The 22,900-nt window shown below is 41.8% G+C and overlaps 1 protein-coding gene and 1 long non-coding RNA gene across 8 annotated transcripts in view, besides 1 other annotated feature; one reads left to right on the top strand and one right to left on the bottom strand.

Annotated features, from left to right (window-relative positions):
• MYRIP (myosin VIIA and Rab interacting protein) overlaps positions 1-22,900 on the top strand; it is a 451,408-nt gene that overhangs the window by 400,727 nt on the left and 27,781 nt on the right. For all 7 annotated transcript variants that reach the window (NR_104316.2, NM_001284423.2, NM_015460.4 and 4 more), the window contains one exon: positions 214-453. Coding sequence is in view for 6 of the 7 variants with exons in the window: in NM_001284423.2 (NP_001271352.1) it covers positions 214-453 (240 nt within the window). In the remaining variant the exon portion in view is untranslated. The remainder of the gene's footprint in view (positions 1-213; positions 454-22,900) is intronic.
• The window catches only part of EIF1B-AS1 (EIF1B antisense RNA 1), a 136,554-nt gene that overhangs the window by 36,496 nt on the left and 77,158 nt on the right, over positions 1-22,900 (bottom strand). The gene's annotated exons all lie outside the window — the stretch shown is intronic.
• Positions 19,992-20,071: an enhancer, noted in NCBI's record as "active region_19713". NCBI's record gives its function as "activates an Ori minimal core promoter by ATAC-STARR-seq in GM12878 lymphoblastoid cells {active_cell/tissue: GM12878}" and the evidence as "EXISTENCE:reporter gene assay evidence [ECO:0000049][PMID:35858748]".

Consider the following 22,900-nt stretch of genomic DNA (forward strand, 5'->3'; position numbering starts at 1 on the left):
TGAGTAAAGAGGATTACCTTCTCAAATTCATGCATTTGAGAAAGTAAAGGTAAAACTAAAAGTCCATCTGAAGAGAAAGCAGACCAGGTAAGAAAGCTGTTACTTTCCTAGACTATATGTTCCTATGTTCCTTTACTCAGGGGTTATTGGGAACAAGAAGCAACATGGCTGTAGCAGAGGGCTCCTCATCTCATGATTCTGGCTTTCATTTAGGTGTCGGATGATTTATCAGAGACAGACATCAGCAATGAGGCTCGGGATCCCCAGACTCTCACAGACACCACAGAGGAGAAACGGAGAAACAGGCTGTACGAGTTAGCAATGAAAATGAGTGAAAAGGAGACTTCTTCAGGGGAGGATCAGGAGTCTGAGCCCAAGACAGAATCTGAGAACCAGAAGGAAAGTCTGTCCTCTGAAGACAACAGCCAGAGTGTCCAGGAAGAGCTGAAGAAGGTAAGGGCTGTGAAGCCACCTGCAGACAGCTCAAGCTTCTGCAGTGGGGTGTTGGAGAAAGATCCTATATTGGTGCAGAAAGCTGCTGGGTCCCCAAAGAGCTCTCTCTAAAATGCCCATCCCTGTGCATTTGGGAGAGCCTAAGAGAACCCTTCTTAACTTGCACTGGGGGGTACAATCAGGAAAACAGCATCATGGAAGTTTCCCAAGAACTCTTACCTTCCACTATCTTTCATCAAGACAGCCCCTTGGCTTTGAGTCTATGATTTAGTGCCCCTTATCCCTCTCACTGGTAAAAATCAGTATTATTTCCTGCTCCACCCTCTCCCTGAGCAGATACATCCATCTGCTGGTACATGAAGAATTTTGCCCATGGATTAAGGTCATCTAGCCAACCCCTCTTTTAATCAGTGATGAAGCTCTGCTCCATGCTATGGAGCCTCTGTGTTCAAAGTGGCCTTCTGGATTGTTTCTCTCTGCAGTTTTCAGATTTCGATTTGGTTGTTTTAGCGTCGGAATCCTTTTTCAAACAATCTTTATATGGAATCCCAGTGTTTCACACAGAAAAAAATTATTCTTGTCTCAGGGTCCCCAAAGCCCTAACCGCTTGATTTTCAGACCCACACTCCTCCTCCCCTTTTCCTACCCCCAGTAGGCCCCTGAGTTCCAAAGGACACAGTTGGAAAACCACAGAAGATAAACTCAACCTCTGGCATAAAAGAATCCCACACTCCCTCCCCATTGTCAGTGCTCTGCCTGCTGTCCTCCAGCATTGGGGTTTCCTCTACAGCTTCTCAAAGCACATTTATGCTAGACTTGCCACTTTAGAGTCAGAATATCCCTGCCAGCCTCCAATGGAAGGGAACACACTAACATTTGTTGAGTGTCTCCTCTGTGTCTCCTCTGTGCGTGTGCCTGTACACATGTTCATTAGGTCCTTAAATAACCCTTTGAAATAGAAGCAGCCCATTTTTGCAGAAGAGGAAACTGAACCTGAGTCATTGAGGTCCTTACCCAGGGCTCACATCTGGTAAGTTTCAGAGCTAAGGCTGCATCACAAACCTGCTTGGCCTTAAATCACAGGCCCCTTCCTTTACAATGAGCCAGAGATTCTATTTTATCTTCAGAGTGATGATTCTGTTAGAGAAAAACCTCCCAGGTGTTTTCTGTGTCCCAAGTATATACTGTGTAAACTAAGAAGTTGCTGGTAATGCACATGCATGAGTGAAGGAGCTGCCTTCATCTGCCCAGCAGCCGAGCTGGGGTCCTGTGGAGGATGAAGTGAAGACCATTACCCGTGGCTGAGCCCCTGAACCCTCCAACACCTCAGACTCTGTATTTCACTTTTCCCATCCCACCCTCCATAACCATCAAGTCCTCACCCATAAATCTTTCCCTGGCTTGTCTGTGAGTTGGAGAGTGGAGCTTGTTCTCCACGAGGAGCCCCTCACTGGGATATGGACTCCAACCTATTGCAAATGGTAAGGGCTCTGATCCTCTCTGTTACTTGAACTGATGCTGCATTACAGTCAGATTTGTACGCTGGAGCTTAGAGCCAGATGGTAACTGGAGAATATCACATTCTTTCTTACAATGGCTTTATCTCCCACTGGCTTTGCTGCCTATGGTCCCAAGGCTCTAAAAACTCTCACTGTACCAGTGGCATGCCAGGCTGTGAGTCATGCAACCTCACCCTTCATCATTCTGCAAGGAGCAACCTCCTGGAGGCAGTCACCAATGTACGCTATTCTCCCCTGGGCAGAGTGTCAGCAGAGAAAGGAGGAGCTACTGGGGGGACTTCCTGGGGACTTGGACAAGCGCCCCCATCCTGCCCCTGCCCTAATTAGGCAGGAAATTAAGAGAGTTGGCTTTATTCAGATTCCCGAATGTGTCAGCTTTTCAAAGTTCAAGTCTTGCCTTCCTAGTCTTCCATGAGTCAATGAATTAAATATTCAAACATATTCTTTTGCATGTAAAAGTCCATATAGCCATATATATATATGTGTGTGTGTATATATATATACATATATATACGTGTATATATATATACATATATATACGTGTATATATATATACATATATATACGTGTATGTGTATATACATATATATACGTGTGTGTATATATATATATACACACACACACACACACACATATATATATATACACGTATATATATAGAGAGAGAGCGCCATATAGACTATATATATATGTTGGAGGGTTCAGGGGCTCAGCCACATATATATATAACTATATAATATATGGTTTCCCCATCAGGCAGGTACTACTGTAGTTAAAGAAAAACAGAAATATAGGGTTAAGTATTGAATATTATTTAAAAACAGAAAAGTTTTGAGATATATTTTAGGATTAGACTGAGTTTGAAGCATAATCGCCCAGGCGCAGTGGCTCATGCCCATAATCCCAGCACTTTGGGAGGCCAAGGCAGGCAGATCGCTTGAGCCTAGGATTTTCAGACCAGCCTAGGCAACACGGCAAAAACCCATCTCTACTAAAAAATTAGCCAGGCTTGGTGGCGTGCACCTGTAGTCTCAGCTATGTAAGAGGCTGAGGTGGGAGGATCACTTGGGCCCACGAGGTTGAGGCTCATCACTGGACTCCAGCCTGGGTGACAGAGTGAGACCCTGTCTCAAAAAATATATAAGTAAATAAAAACAAAAAAATTAGCCAAGCATGGTGGTTAATGTCTGTGGTCCCAGTTACTCGAGAGGCTGAGATGACTTGAACCCAGGAGGTTGAGGCTGCAGTGACCCATGATTGCACCACAGCACTCCAGCCTGGGCAATGACAGAGTGAGACCCTGTCTCAAAAATAAATATATAAATAAAAGGAAAAAGAAAAACAAAACCATGCAGTTTGCAAACTCTGTGGCATTGGTTAATGGCTTACCTCACTGCTACTACTTAGAACCTGACAATTCATTTCTTGCCTGCTTACTCTACCTCACCTCCTAACTGGTCTCCTGACCCTGCAGGCCCTTCTTGGCCCTTCTAATTCTTTCTCCACTCAGTGGCCAGGCTGCCCTACAGTTCCTGCACTTGCTTACAGCCTGTCAACAGGCTCATGTCTGTCTTGCTTTTTAATTGATCCCTAGGACCCAGTCCAGGTTTTCATTGTTGATTGAATAAACACATCTTGGCCTCATTTGTAAAATGGGGATAATCATAACCCCTTATAGGGTTGTGAGGAATGAATTATGTAGTGTAGGATTTAGCATATAGCAGGAGCCCAGCAAATCTTAATTATTGTAGCTTTAGAAAAATAAGCTTCACTGTCATGAAATAACATCCATCTGCTGGTACTGAAGGAACAGCTTAGTGCTGATCCCCATCAACACTTGCAGTGTCATGCTGTGGGTCTGTAACTACATTTGGTGCTCCTTGATGCTATGCAGAGTGTAAGTGTGGAAATCACTACATCAGACCCCTAGGTTACCATCTTCAGGATCAGAGTTAACTGTGATGTCCCCATGACCCCAACACCACTAGTCTGAGCAACACACACACACACACACAGACACACACACACACTCTTTGGGGAGTAGATCTACGGTAATGTGACTATTCCAGAAGCGCCACTGCGCCACCCTTGTTTCTTAACCATGGTAGTGCACACTAGCCCAAAGTCCAACTACCTGAGGACCTTCTCTGAGTAGCAAGAGCTCCTCTTCCTACACAGAAGACTAGCTGGAAGTGCCAGAGAAATACCACTCCCAGGAGCGGGAGTGAGGCACTAACTAGTGACTGATGGGAAGGGTGTAAATATCCCAGCTCCTTTGCTTTGCTTCGGTTGGGATGGTGACTCTGAGGCTTGAGCCATGCACTGACTGCCTCAGCTGGAGGCACCCACAGTGATAAACTACTTGATAAACTACATGATACGGCAGTCTTCTCTACAGACTCTGTTCCCTTTCCTGTCCCACTTCCCCACTCCTCTGCCACTGTTTCCTGGGATTGCCTCCCACATAAGCCATGTGCACCCCAATTTTTGTCTCAGGGTCATCTTCTGGGGGAGCCTAGACTAAGACAAACAGAAGAAAAGTGTCATCCATAAATCGCAAATACTTACTTTGGTATTGTGAATAAGCAGTGAGGAAGTCTAACCACCAAATTGGCTACTGATAGGCCTCATCTCACCAAAAGGAGGCTTGCCTCACACAGAGGGGGAGCTCAGCCAGGGCCTCCATCACTGTCCCTGCTGTTTGGGAGCCAAAGCAGAGGAATGTGGATATGCCCGTAGACACAGTGACATCAGTGGCAGCTCAATGTCCTCAGTATAACATCCCATCTAATTGGAGCTACAGAATCCTGTCCAGCAGCAGAAGAACCATTTTAGAAACATACTTTTTCCTGATGTGATTCAAACCTTTGCTGTATGCAAACATATCCCTACAGTTGGATTAAATGTCTTCCTTTGGCTGGATGCTGGGGCCCAGTGATTACTTAAGGATGGGCACTGCAACCTGAATTTAACCAGCTGAAGAACGAGCTTGGAGCCAGATCAAAACTTCTTGGAAACTGGATTCCCAAAAGGTCATGTTTCTTCTTTAAGTAATAACTTGGTTCCACCAGACCTCAGCGGTCAGCCTTCCAAACCACATGGTCTTCAAAGCCTGGGAATGAGCACTCGTTTCTCCCCAACCACTGAACAGCCATGCCAATGGTTCTGGAAGAAAGTCCTGGCTAAAGTGGTTCTTTTTGCCTCTAGGGACGCAGCTGCTGCCCTCCTAAAGGGGGATGCAAAAGAGGACTAAGGACTCCTGGCCTGAGTTTGGAGACTACATCAGGGGCCAAGTCTCCCCAAACCCCCTAATTTTTCCAGGCCTGGACCAGCAGTCCCCAAGGTCCCTTCTGGCTCCAAAATTCCAAAGTTGTAGATATGCGATAGAATACATAGGTTTTTGCTTCTTAACATAAGTATCATTTGCAATACTGTAGATGAAAAAAGATGTCCTATGTATCAATCTTTTGGAACATGAGCATTTATTAAAGGCCTAGATTAGGAAAATCTTGCACTATAGTCAAATTTGTACATCTAGTGTCCTTAAAGCATTTTTATTAAGAGTCTTTGTTTATTAATTATCACAAGTAGCTGAGCCATTGTGCTTTATTTTCACAAGGGAGTCAACAACCAGCAGACATCTCTGCAGGGATTCAAACTGACTCATAGTTTCACTTTAAAGAGTGAAACTACATTTAGAGTTTCATAGAGTAATTTTCATTTTTTTCAATTTTGAAAAAATTGAATTTTATTTATCATTTCATAGAATAATTTTCATCAAAGTACTGAGACTTCTCTAAACTAATAAATGTCTTTCTCCCCTAAACAAGAGAATAATTTGTGCATCTTCTGATGGCTGCCCCCCAATTACTAGAGCCAAGCCACATGGAAACCCAATCCTGGTGAATGGTGAAGGAAGCAGATTTATTGACTGTTGTCTGAGAAAACCCAGAGACTCTGGTTTCTCAAGTTTAATGTGCTTGTGAAAAAAAATTTGTTGATGTCATGGTGTTAACATAAAATCAAGTATCGTTGTCTATATATGTCTGACGTTCATAAAATAACTTAACCATTCATGTGAGGCTACAGCACCCTACAACCCAGGGAGCATTTTATTTCAGAAGAGTGCCTCATCTTCACTTACTGCTAGAGTGAATATAGTATTAGATACTGACTTATAACTTCCAAACTACACTGATTTCAATAGGCCTTATGCCTATTGAGGAATTAACACCTCTTTCCCAACTGTCTATTTAACTGCTGCCCTAGGAAAAAAGAGAAGCTTTAGCTGTCCACTTAGAGCTACAGCTCTTATCCAGAGTGCTTGAACAGGTGAGGAGGTTTTATTTCATTCATGCTCATCTGCACTCTTCATTCCCACAACTGTGTCCTAGGGAAGGGCCTGCCAGGCCAGGAAGATAGAGTTCTAGGTTCTCTTTTGGATCTTCAAAAGAGAGAAGCAGAATATCTTCCTCTTTAGGCAAAGATGGACTGGGAAAGATTGCCCAGAACTCCAATGCAGACATACTTCAAGCCTCTAAAATGCAGGCATTACCTGGAAGGCCAGGATAAGGATATCACCCCAGCCACAGCAGTAGAATGAGATGCTGGACAGAAATGGTTTGAAGAAAGAAAGGCAGAGTTACTCCAAAAGGTTTTAAGTAGAAAGGCCTGGCAAGCAAGGCACTGGTTCAGAACTCTCACCCCACAGAAGCCCAAAAGTAAGAAACGCTGGGGAGAGGTAAGAGGAAGCATAGATACTGTGACTCTGAAGCTTTGCAGAATAAGCAAGATTGTGCTCTTGGAAAACATCTCTGGGTAGAAAATATAAAAACTAAAGAAGGAAAAACATGTACACCCGTTTCTCCTATAAACGGAAATGCCAAAATCCTAAAGAAAATACTAGCAAACTAAATTCCACAACATTAAGAGATTCACATACCATAACTCATATATTTTGTTCCAAGAATGCAAAATAAAGTGAATAGCAGGAAACCCCACTGTTATACTCATTTAGTAAGTACTATTTTTTAAAAGCACATCATAATCTCAACTGATGCCAAAATGTCTTTTGGAAACATTCAACACATATTCCATTGGGGGGAAAACCCTCTCAGTGTAATAGAAAGATAGTTCTGTAACATGATGAAGAAAATCCACTTCAAAGCACCAGAATCCCTGGATTTTTTTTCTTAATGACAACTCATTTTAAATATCAAAAACACTATGAACATCACATTTTACTACTGATCAAAGAAACACATGACAAAGAGATGAATTTGTAAATGCTTTTACATAAATGTGTATTTTGTTAATCAAATAGCATATACATACGTGTAAAAAATAACATGTGTGGCTTTAAGATTTGTTTTAAATTACAGACAAATATTTGTAGTTATCTAGCAAATATGTATTGTTGTTAAAGAAGTAAATGAGCAAAACTGACTCTAGAAGGTTTACAAAACCTGAACAGACCACAGAAGAAATTGGCAAAGTAGTCAAGGAATTATTTCTCAGAAAGAAGCTAGTCTCAGGTATCTTTGACAATAAAATCCATCAAACGTTCGTGGTGCTAATTACCTTCATACTAATAAAACTGTTCTTGAGCAATTAAAAAAATGGAAAGCATCCCAGTTCTGAGTCTCACACACAAAAAATCACACACCACCAAAAATTTACAAATTAATTCATGAGTGAATAGACATCAAAAATTCTCAACATATTGGCAAATTGTTTCTAACTATGAATTAAAGTAATAATTTATGACAGCCAGACAGGATGTAGTCTAAGAATGTAATAATATTAATTTTAGGATATCTATTAACATTTTTGTTATATTTACAGGCTAAAGGAAGAAAACATGATTATTTTATTAAATTCTTAGCTTGATGTTTGACATGGTAGGAAATTCATAAAATACTCATAAATACTGAATGAAGAATGAATTTCAAACAGCTGATAAACAACCATTTCTGATAAAGTAGGAAGATAAAAACTCAACAGCAGTGACTGGTAGCCTTTTGGGGATTGCAGACCTTTTTACAAGTTTGATGAACATTGTGAACCCGCTCTCCATAAAGCATAAAAAAATGAAATTGATTTTCATCAAATTGGGAAGTCACAGATTGCATGAAGCCCATCCATAAACCCCAAGTTTAGAAATTACTATTAAATGACAGAAAGAAAACAAAGATGTCTTCTACTACTTTCATGATTCAACATTGGTCTGGCATTCTCTCCAGTGCAATAGGAAATAAAAATTACCAATATTAGATAGCAGAAAACAAAACTATGATGACTTTAGATTCCTGAGTTAAGATAATAAAATCAACTGAAAAGATTATTAGAAATAAGTTTGGTAGGATGGCCTATCACAAAAGAGTAATACATAAGCAAAAATTTCATATATACAGCAATAATCACTCAGAAAATATAAAGAAAAAATTATATTTGCAATAGCCGCAAAAGTACACACAGCACTGAACATACACTTGGCATATAACCCAACAATTCTACTCCTAAGTATTTATTTCTCTAATAAAGACCTATGTCCACACACACAGACACACACAAAAAACATTCATGATCACCAAAAACTGGAAACAACACAATTGTCCACCAGCTCACCAGCTGGTGAACGAGTATAAGTGCACCAATGTCAATGAATCTTAACAGCATTATGCTGCGGGAAAAAAGACTCAAAAGGTTACATACTTCCCACTTACATGACATTCTGGAGAAGGCAAAACTATAAGGACAAAACACATATCAGTGGTTGCAAGAGAATGGGCTGAGGAGAAGATTGATATAAAGAGACATAAGGGAATTTTTTGGTCTGATGGAAATATTCTATATCTTGATTTGGTGGTAGCTACACAACTGCATGCTTTTGTCAAAATTCATAGAACTATATGCCTTTAAAGGCTAAATTTTACTGTATGTAATATACATACACACATACACATTTACACACACACACACACACATATATATATATTTTATATATATATATATATATATATATATATATATATATATATATACATACACACACATACATAATGCCCTGGAATAACTTAACTACAAATGTATGAAACTCATCTGAATAAAATTAACTAGTTTTGCTAGGAGACATAAAGACTGAATAAGTGCGGAAACATATTCTGTGTATAGATGGGAAAACTTCACACTTTTATAGAAGTTGGTTTTCCCCAAATTAATACATATATTTAACAGATTTCCAATCATCTTAATGAGATTTTTTGCAAACTTGATGAAGTTATTCTAAAGTTCATCTGGAAGAGTAAGTGCATAAAATATAGCCAAGAAAACTCCAACTGTAATTATAGCAGTGGTGCTAACACTGGAATAAGCAAACAGATTAATGAAACACAATAGAAAATGCTGAAATTTAATATGACATGACAATGGTACATTTAATATCAAAGAAAGATCCTTTAAGGAATATTAGATTAACAAATTATGTAGCACATGCTGGTTAATCATTTGAGAAAAAACTAAATTAGATTCATACATCATACTACATACAAGAATAAATTCTCAATGGGCAGGAGTTTAAAGGTTAAGTAAAAGAAGCTACACAATTACTAGAATAAATTATAGATGAATATTTTATAACATTAGGACAAGAAAGGCCAGAAACCTTAAAGGCCTGAAATATATGATTGCATAAATATTTTGTTTGTTTTATTTTATTTTTTAAACTTTATTATTATCATAGTTTAAGTTTTAGGGTACATGTGCACAACGTGCAGGTTTGTTACATATGTATACATGTGCCAAGTTGGTGTGCTGCACCCATTAACTCATCATTTAGCATTAGGTATATCTCCTAATGCTATCCCTCCCCCATCCCCCACCCCACAACAGTCCCCAGAGTGTGATGTTCCCCTTCCTGTGTCCATGTGTTCTCATTGTTCAATTCCCACCTATGAGTGAGAACATGCGGTGTTTGGTTTTTTGTCCTTGCGATAGTTTGCTCAGAATGATGGTTTCCAGCTTCATCCATGTCCCTACAAAGGAAATGAACTCATCATTTTTTATGGCTGCATAGTATTCCATGGTGTATATGTGCCACATTTTCTTAATCCAGTCTATCGTTTTTGGACATTTGGCTTGGTTCCAAGTCTTTGCTATTGTGAATAGTGCCACAATAAACATATGTGTGCATGTGTCTTTATAGCAGCATGATTTATAATCCTTTGGGTATATACCCAGTAATGGGATGGCTGGGTCAAATGGTATTTCTAGTTCTAGATCCCTGAGGAATCGCCACACTGACTTCCACAATGGTTGAACTAGTTTACAGTCCCACCAACAGTGTAAAAGTGTTCCTATTTCTCCACATCCTCTCCAGCACCTGTTGTTTCCTGACTTTTTAATGATTGCCATTCTAACTGGTGTGAGATGGTATCTCATTGTGGTTTTGATTTGCATTTCTCTGATGGCCAGTGATGATGAGCATTTTTTCATATGTTTTTTGGCTGCATAAATGTCTTCTTTTGAGAAGTGTCTGTTCATATCCTTCGCCCACTTTTTGATGGGGTTGTTTGTTTTTTTCTTGTAAATTTGTTTGAGTTCATTGTAGATTCTGGATATTAGCCCTTTGTCAGACGAGTAGGTTGCAAAAATTTTCTCCCATTTTGTAGGTTGCCTGTTCACTCTGATGGTAGTTTCTTTTGCTGTGCAGAAGCTGTTTAGTTTAATTAGATCCCATTTGTCAATTTTGTCTTTTGTTGCCATTGCTTTTGGTGTTTTAGACATGAAGTCCTTGCTCATGCGTATGTCCTGAATGGTATTGCCTAGGTTTTCTTCTAGGGTTTTTATGGTTTTAGGTCTAACATGTAAGTCTTTAATCCATATGACTGCATAAATATTAAGAACTTATGTTAATCAAAACCATAAAATTAAAAGAATAGTTAAGAAGACATAGTGCTTAAATATATAATGGGTGAAGAATTAAGATCTTTATAACTCTGTATTAGTTAATTCTCACACTGCTATAAAGAAAAAACCTTAGACTGGGTAATTTATAAAGAAAAGAGGTTTAATTGGCTCACAGTTCTGCAGGCTCTACAGGAAGCATGGCTGAAGAGGCCTCAGGAAACTTACAATCATAGCAGAAGGCAAAGGGGAAGCAGGCATGTCTTACATGGCTGGAGCAGGAGGAAGAGAGTGAGGGAGGAGGTGCCACACACTTTTAAACAATCAGATCTCAAGACAACTCACTCACTATCATGAGAACAGCACCAAAGAGGAAATCTGCCCCCACGATCCAATCACTTTCCACCAGGCCCCACCTCCAATATTGGGGATTACAATTTGACATGAGATTTGGGCAGGGACACAGACCCAAACCATATCAAACTCCAACAGATATAGGGTAATGTACAAAGCAGGCAAGTCACCAAAAAAAAAAAAAAAAAAAAAAAAGAGAAAATGTAAATGGACAATAAGCATATGAAAAGATATTCAACTTTAATTGTATTACAATTTTTATTTAATATAACACCTTGCCCAGAACTTGCCATATGGTTAGCACATTCATTTTTTTTAATTCAACAAATGTTTATTGAGTGTGTCAGTGTGCCTGGCACTATTGAAGCACAGAGAAAATGGCCATGAACAAGGGAGAGTTTATCATTTGCTCAATCAGTAAAAATGCAAATTAAATTAATGAGATGCCACTTTTGCCTAATAAATTGGATGGTTAAAAAGAAGGATAATTGGTTCACTCTTGTAATGCCAACACTTTAGGAGGCCAAGGCAAGCATATCGCTTGGGCCCAGGTGTTTGAGACCAGCTTGGGCGATGTAGCAAGACCCCTCTCTACAAAAAAATACAAAAATTAGCCAGCCATAGTGGTGAGCACCTGTGGTCCCAGCTACTCCGGAGGCTAAGGTGGGAGGATCACTTAAGCCCAGGAAATGGAGGTTGCAGTGAGCTGATATTGTGCCACTGCACTCCACCTTGGGTGATAAAGTGAGACTCTGTATCAAGAAACGAAAAGAATGACATTTAGTGTTGGTAAGGGTTCAGGAAAACAGGCAGCCTGCCACCATAAAATAGTGGGAGCACATATTAGAGTCTGATAACTTGGTAATCCAAAGGAATCAAAGTGTGCATACCCTTTGATCTGGCAATTGTACTTTCAATTATTTATCCAAAGAAAAACCTGGAGAAGCACCCAGGGGTATATTACAATGTAGTTCATCAAGCATTGTGTTTTTATTGTAGGGAAATGACAACCTGAATGCCCAACAATAAGGGATTCTTGGAGATACGGGGAGATGGAGTTCAGATAACAGATGGGACATAGGCATTGGAACAGCAAAGATAGATTGGTCCAGATACAAGTGATACAGGGCAGGTGAGCCCCAAAATTAGGGCTTAACCCAAGAGGGTTCTTGGTTTTGCCCAGGAAAGAATTCAAGGGTGAGTGGAGGATGCTAAACAGAAACTATAATCGAAGCGGCAGTGTATAGCAGCAGCAGAGGTACTGCTCCTTGCACAGCAAGGCTACCCCATAGGCAGTGTGCCCAGAGCAGCAGCTCAGAGGCACTTCTGCAGTCATATTTACATAAATATAGTAATTATACTTTTAATTACATGTAAGTTAAGGGGCAGTTTATGAAGAAATTTATATGAAGGTGGCAACTTGTCAGATTGTTGCTATGAAAAGGGGTGGTAACCTCCGGGTGTTGCCGTGGCAGTGGTAAACTGACATAGCACACTGGTGGGGTGTCTTATGGAAAGCTGCTTCTATCCTGGCCCTGTTTTAACTAGTCCTCAGTTTAGTCCAGTGTCTGAGCCCAGCCTCCAGAGTTGAGTCCCACCTCCTACCTCACAATTAAGTGGGTAAATTTCATGTCAGGAAGGTGAGGAGATTTTGTTTTATGTTCCATATGTTTATTACCTCTCTGTCCCCCTACCCCCCACCCCCTCCCCATCTGTCTTTCTGAGGCAAACGTGTCTTCTGAAAGTGAGGGGATAGTGGAATTGGAAGTTCAACATTGTAGAGAGGGTTTAAAATAGCTACTGCATCAAATGCAAAGAAAACAATGTGGAGAAATATTGGAATTCCCAGGCAGCACTGAAAGCATAGATGAGGTCAGATCATGAACATTTACCTGATGTATAAAGAACCTGTACAAGAATATAGCAATCTTGAACACAGTTAAATGCAAAATAAAAAATCCGTTTTATTCAAAGAAAATATTCCTACCAGATCTATTCATAAATCTACATCATTTGGCATAATTACACAGTATGGTTCAAGTGGTTCTGAGATTTACGGTGGAACTTCCCATTTCAGAGGTTTGTAGCTTAGCCATTAATCTTCCCTGAACTAAAATCTACATATGAATTTCAAACCATTGAGGGGATGGGGCATAGAATGGAAACTAACTCCATCCATAATAAGAGCAAAAAATGTGAAGTTAAAACTTAAAAAGTTAAAACTGCAGATCTCCAAGAAATCTAGCAGTTCACTGGAAGAAAGATGGTGTAAAGATGAATTCTTCCAAAATTAGGTTAGAGGTTTAATGCAATGCAAATCAAAATCTGAACCAGACATCTTTTAACTTTTCAAAAAGAGTCTAAAAATCAAAACCATCTGATAGAATAGTCAAAAATAGTTTAGAAATGTTTAGAAAAAATAAAAGAGGTGTGAAGAGGATCCATTTATTAAGATATTACTCATATTTTTTAAAGGTACAGTAATTAAATTTGTGAGCTACTAATATAAGATGTAACAGAATAGTCCAGAAGAACAGCCTAAAATATATTAAATTTAACTCACCATTAATCTCGTGATTCCCACTCACTTTCCACACTAGGTCAAAAAAAGACAGCTTTTTAATAAATAGTGTTTGGACAATAGTTAGCTTGTTCTTTTGGGAGGGGAATAGGGATGTAAGAAAAGACAGGTTCTTAATTTTCACCCCAATGAAGGTATGAATGGACCCTCCTGGTTTGCAGGCCCAGCAATAGATAAGAGACAATATTTAAAAGGAGACAGAGAGATGTTGAACTTCTCTTGTGAGAGGTGGTAGCCCAAGCTCTGGAGTTTGAATCCCTGCTCATTCCCCACTTCTTCAACAATTATTGAGCTGTTCAAGGAGGTGCAATGCAGTATGGATAAGAGAAAAAAGCTCCCTGAGCTCGTGGAACTTACCTTCTGTTGGAGGAGACAGTGGTAAACATGTAGACACATGAAGGGGAAGATGCACAATAGTGATAAGTGCTAAGAAGATGACGTAGGGCAGAGGGCAGAGTCCTGGATAGTCATGAACTCTCTGACCAAGGGTCTTGAACTGAGACCCAAATGGCAAGCAGGAAAAAGATCTAAAGGAAGGGCTTTCCAGGCAGAGGAACACATGCAAGTCCCTAAGGTGGAGATGACCTTGACAAGTCCAAGGGACAGATAGAGCCAAGGTGGCTAGAGCAATGTGGCCAAGGGAAAAGCGGCGAGAGAGGTGAGGGCAGGGGCTAGAGCAAGCAGAGCCAGGTGGGCCATGCAGAAAGCTTCGGTTTATATTCTGGTGAGGTAGAAAGCACCTGGAAAGGTTGAAGTGGACAAGTGACAAGCAGGACCTTACATTATGAAGATCACCCTGGCTGCCATGTGCCACCTTCTTTCCAAGCAAATGTGGAAAGTGATTTCAGGTCTCACTGGACTTCTTCAGAGCCAAGCACATGCCCTGATTACCACCAGTCATTAGAAATGTTTCCAATCAATATTAGGAACTATTGTCTGAGGAACAGTCAGTATAAAAAAGCAAAAAAAAAAAAAAAGATCAATGGCTATGATTACCTCTTAGGCCAAGAAAGGAACTCCTCCTGCCTGCTTTACACCTGCCAGAGTAGGTTTGGTCAAAGGTGATGCCCCCATTTCCCCGCTTAGTTTCCTTTGCCAGGCCCTGATATGGCCAACATCAGACAATACTAGGTACCATCAAAGAAGAACAAGAAAATGACCTCAGGGAAACATGGAGATCATTGGAACTAAACTACAAATAATATACTTTTAAAATTTATTTTTTAGTCACCATGAAAAAAGGAAAATATTTCTTTTATAGATGGCCTTGGCCATCAAGACCTGGATGACTTAAGAACCCAAACCTTCCTAGAGGTCAGTTCTCCTCTAATCTCTGTTATGTGTAAATGTTTCAGTGCATTACATATGCTAATTTATTAAGTTCATGTTCCAATTTCTTTCCACAGTTCTGTGCCACCCTCTTGCATCAAGTCACTCTTCAGGGACATGAGTCTGTTCATGGAGAATGTATTTTGACGGGTTTTAGCGGCATTGCTGGAGTGCCTTATGTTTCATGAGAACTGAAATATATTAGCATTGAATTTTTCTAGCAGATTTCTGTCAAATATTTAGAAGGACATATGGAGTTTCTTTCCTACCATTGAAAAGGAGAAAAATACATGAAATCAAGGCATTTGGACAAACTTTCTTGCTTGCTCTGGTAGTTTGATGGAAGCATTTCTTAAAGCCAAGACAGCATCTGTAATACGACACAGAGGAGTGATGAGCGGACTGGGAGTCTGGATTCCACTTGGAACAGGTTTTCTTATAGAGCACATCCTTTCTCGCTTGTGGTCATTGGCAGCTCAGTTCTAGGTGGGCTCTGGAAGCCTTAGAATGGGCACTTGTGCTGGACAGATCTCCAGCTCTGTGGTGTGGCTTGGTCTTTGGCTTTCCAAATCAATGCACTTATTCTAGTTGGTGTCAGTTGGTAGAGGCTGCAGAATGACCTGAGGACTCCCTGTCGTTAGACTCCTCTCTTCCTGATCTGTTGTTCACTGGTCTGATTGTGCACTCAGATTCTGTTTCACCATCACTTCCCACAGTCCACTGGGTCCAGGGAATTATGCACATGGAAGAAGTGCTGGTGTGACAAGTGCGGAGGAGCATGGGTTTGGGAAACCACCATCTGGTCTCAAGTCCTAGCTCCACATCTTCTTCACTGAGCCACAGTTTTCTTGTCTCTAAAGATGGGATTAAAATATCAACCATGTCAGGTTGCTGTCATGGTTGAATAAAATAATGAGAAGCCTAGAATCAACCTGGCACAGGATGGACCCACATTAACTATGAGGTGCTTCCCTCCTTGCTTCTTCTCTTCCCTCCCCAAAGAGTCTCTCGCGAACAACATTCAGCACGGGGAGAAGCCATGGCCACATATTTATTTTATGCAACTTGAACTGCTAAAAGGTCTTTCACCTCTCCCTGTAATTTCTCTTTTCACCCCTTTGTGCTCAAACATGTCTTTAGATGACCCCTGTTAACGTTTCCTGTTACCTGGATGTCCACTGTCCCTAATAGTTCCCCCTAAGGAACATTTGTAAGTCACAGGGCTGAAAGGAGGACTGGAGGGCCCCATACTGTCACCAACTTCTTGATTGTACTGCAGCCAATTATGAAGATCGTATGTAGCCCTTCAGCCCTCCCCTCAGGAAACTTGACACCAAAAATAATGAATTTAAAAGAAAAACTGAACAAATGACTCAGGTGCTATTCCACTTGGGCATTTGATAGTCACCGACTTTCATGATGCATGAGAAAAGGAGCTCTGAAATGTTATATTTTTCTTTATTTCAATAACCTAGTGAACCCTTCCTTCTCTCCTGGTATTTAAATCTTTAATGCATCAATTTCTTCCAGATCACCCAGCTGGAAAGCACAGCAGCACCTTGCCAGCTCCCTCTTCTTCACTGCAGCCACCATGTTCTCTCAGCTGTTTCCAGAATATTGCACCTTATATGCTTTTATCCCTACTATGGCTGCCCCACCTCAGGTCCTTGCGACCTTTGATTGGAGCTGCAGTTACTCTTTCCTACACTTACTTTCTGCCTCCAGTTCTCCCCAGCCCTCAATCTGTTCATGTGGCAGTCAGAATTACCTTTCTGAAGCACAGGTCTCTCCTGCCAGCATGTTAAAAGCCTGGGCTTTAAAACCAGGCAGACCCTAATACAAATCCCGGCTTCTTCAAGGAAAACCTTGTCACCTCTCTTAAGCCTCAGTTCCTCATCTATCAGTTGGAGTGATCACAGTATCTGCGTCCTAGGGTGGTGAGGAGGGTGAAATGAGGCAAGGCAAATGATGCACTTATCCCAGAGCCTAGCACACAGTGAGCACTCAGTGAGTTACTGTTAACAGCAGCAGCAAGAACCTGCAGTGGCACCTCGTTGCCAGCAGTACAAACCCCAGACTCCTGAGGCTGGCATTCGGGGCACTGTAAGACCTCCCCTCTGCCTCCCTTTTCCTACCTGTCTCCCACAGCCTGCCCTGGGCTGCAGTGCCATTGACTCAGCAGCTTTCTTGTGCTTCCAAACCTTACCCCAAAGTAAAATGCTAGCAGCACCCGGTTGTTCTCTCTGTAGGTCCGCAGCCTGTTGCTCACAGTGCAGGACAGATCTTACCTTCTGCTACCTGCTGTTGTCTCCTGACTGCTTCCCCCTCTGCTCTCTGAGGGTAGGGACCATGGATTACTTGTTTCTGCATCCCCTGCAGGGCCCAATGCAGTGCCTTGGCATAGAGTGGATGCTTCCAGAAGGAATTAAATTAGTGATGGGAGGGAATCATTGATGATGTTTGAGGGCCTGGTTTTTTCAGGGTCCCCTCGAGGCTATGACATACCTTGTTTTCATTGCATATCAGTGTGTATGGTTTGGTCTGCTCCCAGTAAAGGGAAAACAACAGAATGAAAAACCGGGAAACAACAGAATAATGGAAATGTACTCTCTCTCTCTCTCTCTCCCTCTATGTGTGTGTGTGTGCCAGTGTAGGTTGCTTACTCTGATTTCTTGGACTATCCTGTATTCTGATATTATTACTCCCTTTTTGGTGGTATGATCCCATCTTTATGAAATTGTAGTGGCAGGCAATAATAGATTATAGAGGCTTTTTTCTTTTTAAAATATTATTATTTGGCAAAAGAAAAAACAAGAAACAAAGAGCAGCAAAGTTTAACCTTTTGGAATAATGGTAAAAGGCACTCTTTGAAATACGAAATAGTTAAAGAAAAATGTTTCAAGACTGCAGTACATAATGAGAGGCAGCTAAACCACCAGGCACTCACCAGCATTGTGCCCATCTCCAGCCAGGAAGTGTGCCTGCAGAGCAGGTGGGAGGTGCTTGAGGAGAGGCGCACAACTCTGGACCCAGACACTGGGTGGACACCTGACACATGCCTTCTAATTTAATCTTCTTGAAAGCTTCTTGAGCTAGATGATGTTATATCCATTTTACAATGGAGGTGCAGAGGGGTTAAGTATTTGCCCAAAGTCACACAGACAATGTAAGCTGAATTTCCCTGGCCTTATGGGCCTGTATGTGCAAATAAGGAGGTTTCATTAGGATCAGTCCACAGTAGGAGACCACAGCACCCCCAATTGTCTCCCTCTGTTATTTTGGGGAGTCTTGGAGGAGGGATCTGCCATGTATTCATGAACAGCCCTCTTGGAGGTGCCCACTCAGGGCCCCCATGGATATCTAGAGCTGACAGAGCCCTGAGGGACAGGCCTCACCAGGCCGCAGCTGTCCCCTTTTCACAGAGGGGCTCCAGATCAGCAAGACAAGGGCCACTGTGTGGCTTTGCTGGGACCAGGCACTTGTGCATTTATGGGCCCTTTCCTCCATAAAACATATTTAAAAATAATATTTTACAACTGTATTGGCATAAATATACTAAGATTATATATTAAAACATGTTCCTGGTGCAAAGATTCATTTTTTTCTTATAATTTTAAAAGAAATTAAAATATTTTCATGGGCCCCTAAAGGAATGATGGGCCCTAGGCCAGGTGCCTGCTATCCCTAAAGGGTAAGGAGGCCCTTCACAAGACCCTAAAGTGGCAGTCCCCTCGCCACTGCCCCTGTTTCTTGGCTGACCATGAACCTGGATTATACTGTACGCTTCCCTATCTCTCTAAAGTGTGAGTACCAGTGTCCCTTCAGCTTCTGCCTGTTTTGCCTTTTTGCTCTTGTTCTTGTTATAGGTGTTGGAACAGCCCCTGAGGTGGAGACAGGAAAATCTCTCTTCTGCTCCAGGCACATGTACACATCCTTTTATCCTCAAAGCCTTTCTGCCCACCTTATATTATATCAAGACTTATATCACACACAGGTCAGCTCATCACACACAGCCAGAAGCTGACTCTCTGAACCCAGCTAAGACAGACACACAGACACACATGCTCCAGGGTCAAGCTGGGGCTGGAATCCCCGCTCTTTAATTCCAAAGTGGTCTCTCTCCACGAAGCCAGACATCCGATTATTAGAGCACACTCTTGCTGCTCACACATTCACAAGAGTAAGATATTCTGGTAAAGAGCATTCCTGATTATTCCAGCTTGAAATGAATTTGCAATTTTCTGTGCAACACAAAGCTTAGAAATGAATGATGACACTGGGAAAATCTCAGGAGAATTTACAAAGATTGCTAACGAGCAGATATAGCTACTGTTTAGAATGAAAATATTTTCTCCTTTAGAATTCTACAGGCTCAGCTCTCCCCTGGCAACACCTTGCATTCTCCATGTCTTTGAAAAACAGTTGATAGGGAAGAGTACATAGAGTAGAAATTTGTTTATAGCAACACATTTTTATACGGAGAGAAAGCATATAAACACAAGACAGAGAGATTGCTAAGGTAAAGTGTATTTGGGTCCTGAGACAAAAAAATACAAGTCTTACTCTGCCTACAGTCCCTAGAGGAAAAAAACGATAGAGTTGAGATGAATTGCGCAGGGCACGAGTTGGTCATATTCACTGGGACCACTGAAATGGCCACTGAGGCAGGGCTGCAACCTTGGCACGGTAAATGACTGTCGTAAAGGCCTGCTTCAGCACTGTGTCATTTGTGAGTTGGGCTGGGAGCCTGTCTTCACGGAGGTTGACAGTAGTTTCGCTACCTCATTAATGAGCAATTGAGGAAACTCCATCTCAGGCTGAGAGGAGTCAGATCTTACCTTCCTGTTCCTCTGTCCTTGTGGCTCTGTGGTGGGCTTGCAACACCAGTGTGCTTCTCCTCATCTTCTGTGCCCCAAGTGGTGGACTGTTTCAGCTCTGGTGGTTGTGAAGCTGACCTTGTAGATTTGGTGTTCTGCATGGGGCTGTGACACAGACTGAACCCTAGAAGTGGACACCTGGGCTCTCAGAGGTGAGCATCAGTCAGCAGGACACCAAGAGCATGGCTGCCTCAGAGCACAGATACACATCCTGTGGTGGGTTAACAGCTCAAAGTTCAACACATGCTACCTGCACTAAGGCATATTGGCATACACTTGGCATTTTAAAAAAAGAGAATTTTGCATGTATCTGGCACCTAATAAATGTGTTATTTAATTTGTATTTCTTTGCTCACTAGAAGGTTGTGTTACATGGGTTTACCAGCCATTTTCATTCCATCATCTGGGTCCCTTAGCTGCAAGTGTCTTGAGACTCACCTTCCTGTTCTGCAAAGCCTCCTATTGTGTCAGCTGACTCTCTCCATGCTTTCACTTCTCCCTCATTTGCTACCATAAAACCCATATTTGATTTCCCTTATGATTAATATCTGGAGAAAGTCAGCTACCACAATGGCATGCTCTGTCTGGGCTCTCAACTCGTGCTTTGTGCCATTCAGCTCATCCCTCTGGGGCTGTAAGCAATAGAAATAGGTAGGATCCTTTAGCTTTTCATTTCTCCCACATACAGGGCTCCCTGTCAGCCACCTCTGAATCTCCACCAGTTTTTCATCTGATCAAACCCCCATCCAGTGCTAAATATAAGTTTTTTAACATAGTTGTAGGAGGTGCTTTTCACTTTTCTCTAGACTGGACAGGGAACAGGACATTTACATTACAAGTCAGTGTTAGCCCTGTAGGAAAGCTGATCTTTCACTGACCAGTGAGCACAGTAAGGAACAGGGAGGTTAAGTGCCCTGCCCCTGTCATATAGCTATTGAAATCCAAGTTATCTCAACTTCCAGTAGGTGCATGGTCCACACCCACCCTCAGGTGCAAGCAAACAGCCCATTCCTAAGGAACAGACAAGAAACACTTGATTCCCTACAGGTGGGAAATTGCTGTGGATTCCAGTTTGCCTTTCCCAGTGGAAAGCAAAATGGGGACATCAACCAATGAAGAGATCTTGTCCAGTTTTCATATAATTTTTGTTCAGTCACTTCTTCTTTTTTTTTTTTTTGTTTTTTTTAGGCGGAATTTCGCTCTTGTTGCCCAGGCTGGAGTGCAATGGCGGGTCTCAGCTCACTGCAACCTCCACCTCCCAGGTTCAAGCAATTCTGCTGCTGCAGCCTCCCAAGTAGCTGGGATTACAGGTGCCTGCCGCCACACCTGGCTAATTTTTGCATTTTAGTAGAGACAGGGTTTCACTGTGTTGGCCAGGCTGGTCTCAAACTCCTGACCTCAGATGATCCACCCGCCTTGGCCTCCCAAAGTGCTGGGATTACAGGCATGAGCCACCACGCCCAGCCCGTTCAGTCACTTCTGCCAGCTGGAAGCTGGTTCCCTTCTGAAATGGTCCAGGTCTTTAAGCAGACCTCAGGTGTTCCAGGTGAAGCTGTGGCGCTCTCCTCAGACCAGCTGCCTGGGCCTCCTCACTCTGACTTAAGGGAAGATGCAAATGCCTTCAGGGGCCAAGACAGTAAGTCAACGTGACAAGTGGACGGGGTAGGGCCAAAGGCATGCGTGAGGGCAGGAACTACATCCCTCTTGTTCACTGCTTTATCCCAGCACCTGGAACAGAGCTGGCACACCATAGGTTCCCAATAAAAATGTAGAATGAACCGTGGGGAATGTAGAGAACTGGGAAGTGCATATCTCACAGGAGGTATTCCAGGCCAAAAACCATGGGTAATATTTGCCTTTGAGCTTGCAACTCTCATGACTGAATAAACAAGGCTGTTTATAGATGGAATAAAACAATGATGGTCAAACAGTATTGATGGCCAACTTACCCTTTTGATTGTATGTTCAGTTGGAGTCAGAATACAGATCACTCTTTCTGTTTAAGCATCTCTTAAGTCCTTTCCATTAATACCTTGGACCTTTAATGCACTGTGCTGTTTGGAAATTTGTGTAAATTTTTACTTTCCCTTCCCTCATGCTATGGTCTAACTTTTTTTTCTGAATCCCTTGGTCATATATCTTTCTTTTCAAAAGATCTGCAAAGGCACTGTGTCTACCAAATAAGGGGCAATTTTTCTAAACACGTTTTATTCCTAATAAAAGGGTAACAAATCTGCTCTCATGCATACAATGTTGCCCTTTCTAAAACAGACCTAAGAAGTGGTAGCTGGTTCTTGCCAAAATTATTTTGAGCCCAATTTGTCTCCAAAATCTGCCACATCAAGCTACAAGGTCCTGAAAAGTGGGGGACATCCTCTGCACATTTTTCCTAAGGTGAAGAGTTGGCTCTGGCTGTTCTCTTGGACATTGCCCTTATTCTAGTGGGTCTGCATCACCTTCCCTCTATCTCGTTCCCCTGGGACCCCAGATTCTACCTTTTTGGTATGTAGCAAAGCCCCCTGAACCAACAGAAACATGGCTATTGGGTCAGTCAAGCAGCTATTGTGGAACAGACAGGCTAAGGCTAAGGAGGAGCCCTCTGGCACATGTGTCCTCACCCCAGAACGGCTTGACAGGTGTGAGACCATGTGCCTCAGTGTAGAAGCCCAGAGTCAGCTTCTGGACTGCAGACTCAGCCACTAATTTGTCATTTAGCCCCTTTGCTTCTCTAGTGAAGTGGGAGGGCCATCGGAAACCTTCTCTAGTGAGACAAAACCTAAAATAGAATTCACTCGGAGGAACACATTTTGCAAAATCAAGTCATAGCTATCATTAATATTTTGGTCAAGATTATATGGGTCAGATAGGTACCTTGGGAAGGC

This window comes from Homo sapiens, chromosome 3, assembly GCF_000001405.40.
Source record: "Homo sapiens chromosome 3, GRCh38.p14 Primary Assembly".
Classification (NCBI taxonomy): domain Eukaryota; kingdom Metazoa; phylum Chordata; class Mammalia; order Primates; family Hominidae; genus Homo; species Homo sapiens.